This window comes from Homo sapiens, chromosome 6 (assembly GCF_000001405.40).
Source record: "Homo sapiens chromosome 6, GRCh38.p14 Primary Assembly".
Taxonomy (NCBI): Eukaryota; Metazoa; Chordata; class Mammalia; order Primates; family Hominidae; genus Homo; species Homo sapiens.
Genome location: NC_000006.12, coordinates 23,803,324 through 23,808,450, shown reverse-complemented (window position 1 = coordinate 23,808,450; position 5,127 = coordinate 23,803,324). Strand labels below are relative to the sequence as shown.

Sequence of the window (5,127 nt, the reverse complement as noted above, 5' to 3'; positions counted from 1 at the left end):
CTACCCATGAGCATGGAATGTTCTTCCATTTGTATCCTCTTTTATTTCATTGAGCAGTGGTTTGTAGTTCTCCTTGAAGAGGTCCTTCACATCCCTTGTAATGTGGATTCCTAGGTATTTTATTGTCTTTGAAGCAATTGTGAATGGGAGTTCACTCATGATTTGGCTCTCTGTTTGTCTGTTGTTGGTGTATAAGAATGCTTGTGATTTTTGTACATTGATTTTGTATCCTGAGACTTTGCTGAAGTTTCTTAACAGCTTAAGGAGATTTTGGGCTGAGACAGTGGGGTTTTCTAGATATACAATCATGTCATCTGCAAAGAGGGACAGTTTGACTTCCTCTTTTCCTAATTGAACACCCTTTATTTCCTTCTCCTGCCTAATTGCCCTGGCCAGAACTTCCAACACTATATTGAATAGGAGTGGTGAGAGAGGGCATCCATGTCTTGTGCCAGTTTTCAAAGGGAATGCTTCCAGTTTTTGCCCATTCAGTATGATATTGGCTGTGGGTTTGTCATAGATAGTTCTTATTATTTTGAAATATGTCCCATCAATACCTAATTTATTGAGAGTTTTTAGCATGAAGGGTTGTTGAATTTGTCAAAGGCCTTTTCTGCATCTATTGAGATAATCATGTGGTTTTTGTCTTTGGCTCTGTTTATATGCTGGATTACATTTATTGATTTGTGTATATTGAACCAGCCTTGCATCCCAGGGATGAAGCCCACTTGATGATGGTGGATAAGCTTTTTGATTTGCTGCTGGATTTGGTTTGCCAATATTTTATTGAGGATTTTTGCATCAATGTTCATCAAGGATATTGGTCTAAAATTCTCTTTTTTGGTTGTGTCTCTGCCCGGCTTTGATATCAGGATGATGCTGGCCTCATAAAATGAGTTAGGGAGGATTCCCTCTTTTTCTATTGATTGGAATAGTTTCAGAAGGAATGGTATCAGTTCCTCCTTGTACCTCTGGTAGAATTTGGCTGTGAATCCATCTGGTCCTGGACTCTTTTTGGTTGGTAAGCTATTGATTATTGCCACAATTTCAGCTCCTGTTATTGGTCTATTCAGAGATTCAACTTCTTCCTGGTTTAGTCTTGGGAGAGTGTATGTGTCCAGGAATTTATCCATTTCTTCTAGATTTTCTAGTTTATTGGCATAGAGGTGTTTGTAGTATTCTCTGATGGTAGTTTGTATTTCCATGGGATCGGTGGTGATATCCCCTTTATCATTTTTTATTGCATCTATTTGATTCTTCTCTCTCTTTTTCTTTGTCTTGCTAGCAGTCTATCTATTTTGTTGATCCTTTCAAAAAACCAGCTCCTGGATTCATTAATTTTTTGAAGGGTTTTTTGTGTCTCTATTTCCTTCAGTTCTGGTCTGATTTTAGTTATTTCTTGCCTTCTGCTAGTTTTTGAATGTGTTTGCTCTTGCTTTTCTAGTTCTTTTAATTGTGATGTTAGGGTGTCAATTTTGGATCTTTCCTGCTTTCTCTTGTGGGCATTTAGTGCTATAAATTTCCCTCTACACACTGCTTTGAATGTGTCCCAGAGATTCTGGTATGTTGTGTCTTTGTTCTCATTGGTTTCAAAGAACATCTTTATTTCTGCCTTCATTTCGTTATGTACCCAGTAGTCATTCAGGAGCAGGTTGTTCAGTTTCCATGTAGTTGAGTGGTTTTGAGTGAGATTCTTAATCCTGAGTTCTAGTTTGATTGCACTGTGGTCTGAGAGACAGTTTGTTATAATTTCTGTTCTTTTACATTTGCTGAGGAGAGCTTTACTTCCAAGTATGTGGTCAATTTTGGAATAGGTGTGGTGTGGTGCTGAAAAAAATGTATATTCTGTTGATTTGGGATGGAGAGTTCTGTAGATGTCTATTAGGTCGGCTTGGTGCAGAGCTGAGTTCAATTCCTGGGTATCCTCGTTGACTTTCTGTCTCTTTGATCTGTCTAATATTGACAGTGGGGTGTTAAAGTCTCCCACTATTAATGTGTGGGAGTCTAAGTCTCTTTGTAGGTCACTCAGGACTTGCTTTATGAATCTGGGTGCTCCTGTATTGGGTGCATATATATTTAGGATAGTTAGCTCTTCTTGTTGAATTGATCCCTTTACCATTATGTAATGGCCTTCTTTGTCTCTTTTGATCTTTGTTGGTTTAAAGTCCGTTTTATCAGAGACTAGGATTGCAACCCCTGCCTTTTTTTTGTTTTCCATTTGCTTGGTATATCTTCCTCCATCCTTTTATTTTGAGCCTATGTGTGTCTCTGCAGGTGAGATGGGTTTCCTGAATACAGCACCCTGATGGGTCTTGACTCTTTATCCAATTTGCCAGTCTGTGTCTTTTAATTGGAGCATTTAGTCCATTTACATTTAAAGTTGATATTGTTATGTGCGAATTTGATCCTGTCATGATGATGTTAGCTGGTTATTTTGCTCGTTAGTTGATGCAGTTTCTTCCTAGTCTTGATGGTCTTTACATTTTGGCATGATTTTGCAGCAGCTGGTACTGGTTGTTCCTTTACATGTTTAGTGCTTCCTTCAGGAGCTCTTTTAGGGCAGGCCTGGTGGTGAGGAAATCTCTCAGCATTTGTTTGTCTGTAAAGTATTTTATTTCTCCTTCACTTATGAAGCTTAGTTTGGCTGGATATGAAATTCTGGGTTGAAAATTCTTTTCTTTAAGAATGTTGAATATTGGCCCCCACTCTCTTCTGGCTTGTAGGGTTTCTGCCGAGAGATCTGCTGTTAGTCTGATGGACTTCCCTTTGAGGGTAACCCAACCTTTCTCTCTGGCTGCCCTTAACATTTTTTCCTTCATTTCAACTTTGGTGAATCTGACAATTGTGTGTCTTGGAGTTGCTCTTCTCGAGGAGTATCTTTGTGGTGTTCTCTGTATTTCCTGAATCTGAACGTTGGCCTGCCTTGCTAGATTGGGGAAGTTCTCCTGGATAATATCCTGCAGAGTGTTTTCCAACTTGGTTCCATTCTCTCCGTCATTTTCAGGTACACCAATCAGCTGTAGATTTGGTCTTTTCACATAGTCCCATATTTCTTGGAGGCTTTGCTCATTTCTTTTTATTCTTTTTTCTCTAAACTTCCCTTCTTGCTTCATTTCATTCATTTCATCCATTTCATCTTGCATCGCTGATACCATTTCTTCAAGTTGATCACATCGGCTCCTGAGGCCTCTGCATTCTTCACGTAGTTCTTGAGCCTTGGTTTTCAGCTCCATCAGCTCCTTTAAGCACTTCTCTGTATTGGTTATTCTAGTTATACATTCTTCTAAATTTTTTTCAAAGTTTTCAACTTCTTTGCCTTTGGTTTGAATGTCCTCCAGTAGCTCAGAGTAATTTGATCGTCTGAAGCCTTCTTCTCTCAGCTCGTCAAAGTCATTCTTTGTACAGCTTTGTTCCGTTGCTGGTGAGGAACTGCGTCCCTTTGGAGGAGGAGAGGTGCTCTGCTTTTTAGAGTTTCCAGTTTTTCTGTTCTGTTTTTTCCCCATCTTTGCGGTTTTATCTACTTTTGGTCTTTGATGATGGTTATGTACAGATGGGTTTTTGGTGTGGATGTCCTTTCTGTTTGTTAGTTTTCCTTCTAACAGACAGGGCCCTCAGCTGCAGGTCTGTTGGAGTACCCTGCAGTGTGAGGTGTCAGTGTGCCCCTGCTGGGGGATGCCTCCCAGTTAGGCTGTTCGGGGGTCAGGGACCCACTTGAGGAGGCAGTCTGCCCGTTCTCAGATCTCCAGCTGCGTACTGGGAGGACCACTGCTCTCTTCAAAGCTGTCAGACAGGGACATTTAAGTCTGCAGAGGTTACTGCTGTCTTTTTGTTTGTCTGTGCCCTGCCCCCAGAGGTGGAGCCTACAGAGGCAGGCAGGCAGGCCTCCTTGGGCTGTGGTGGGCTCCACCCAGTTCGAGCTTCCCGGCTGCTTTGTTTACCTAAGCAAGCCTGGGCAATGGCAGGCGCCCCGCCCCAGCCTCGCTGCTGCCTTGCAGTTTGATCTCAGACTGCTGTGCTAGCAATCAGCGAGACTCCCTGGGCGTAGGACCCTCCGAGCCAGGTGCGGGATATAATCTCCTGGTGTGCCGTTTTTTAAGCCCGTTGGAAAAGCGCAGTACTGGGGAGGGAGTGACCCGATTTTCCAGGTGCCGTCCGTCACCCCTTTCTTTGACTAGGAAAGGAAAACTCCCTGACCCCTTGCACTTCCCGAGTGAGGCAATGCCTCACCCTGCTTTGGCTTGCACATGGTGCGTGCACCCACTGACATGCGCCCACTGGCATTTCCTAGTGAGATGAACCTGGTACCTCAGATGGAAATGCAGAAATCACCCATCTTCTGCGTCGCTCACGCTGGGAGCTGTAGACCGGAGCTGTTCCTGTTCGGCCATCTTGGCTCCTCCCCCAGGGCTGTTACTTTGAAGGATATTAGATTGCTCCCCAAATCACTGGGAGGGCTGAAGAAATTGACTAATGCTTAAGGGTAGAGGAACAATGCCCCAGATCTGCAGAAAAATATAACCACCATTTCTGCTGCCACAGAGAAGCACCAAATGCAAGACAATCATCTTTATTACAACCATTTCTGTCAAGCATCAAAGATTCAACTTTTATAATTATAGTTATTCTCAAAAGGTTGATATTGTCTTGTCACCTATGCAAGAAAAATTAAATGTCCACATCAAGCCTATTTCAACATTATTTCTAAGTCAAAGCATCCTGTGATTGATTTTGGTTAATAGAGATTTCTTTAGACTTTTTTCCCCAAAAGCAAGGCAGAATATTTGAATTCTGAATTCTAATTCGAGGAAGAAGAACTCGTAATACAAAATTTTACCAATACAGAAAGGCTAATCAAAAAATGATTGGCAGCCATGAATATGACGAATGAACTGTGTGTCAACTCTTTTTGTGGACTGACTTGTGTTTGCTTTGACTGAAAAAAAGGAATCAGTGACCCTCTAAATGTGCCTGTGGATGTTTTAATATTACCTGAAAATCTGTTTAACAATCTTATTTGAGATGTTAAATTATCAGTTTAAAGATCCATCATAGACCTCATTTTTTGTTGATTTTCTTTTTAGTTTGATGTTTTATGTTCAAGTGGGAAAGCTAAATTATTGTCCCTAC

General features: G+C 41.4%; 2 annotated features.

Moving 5' to 3' along the window:
• Nucleotides 3,358–3,858: an enhancer, noted in NCBI's record as "H3K4me1 hESC enhancer chr6:23804821-23805321 (GRCh37/hg19 assembly coordinates)". NCBI's record gives its function as "activates a minimal SCP1, AML or CMV promoter by ChIP-STARR-seq in naive H9 embryonic stem cells {active_cell/tissue: H9 hESC(naive)}" and the evidence as "EXISTENCE:reporter gene assay evidence [ECO:0000049][PMID:30033119]".
• Nucleotides 3,859–4,359: an enhancer, noted in NCBI's record as "H3K4me1 hESC enhancer chr6:23804320-23804820 (GRCh37/hg19 assembly coordinates)". NCBI's record gives its function as "activates a minimal SCP1, AML or CMV promoter by ChIP-STARR-seq in naive H9 embryonic stem cells {active_cell/tissue: H9 hESC(naive)}" and the evidence as "EXISTENCE:reporter gene assay evidence [ECO:0000049][PMID:30033119]".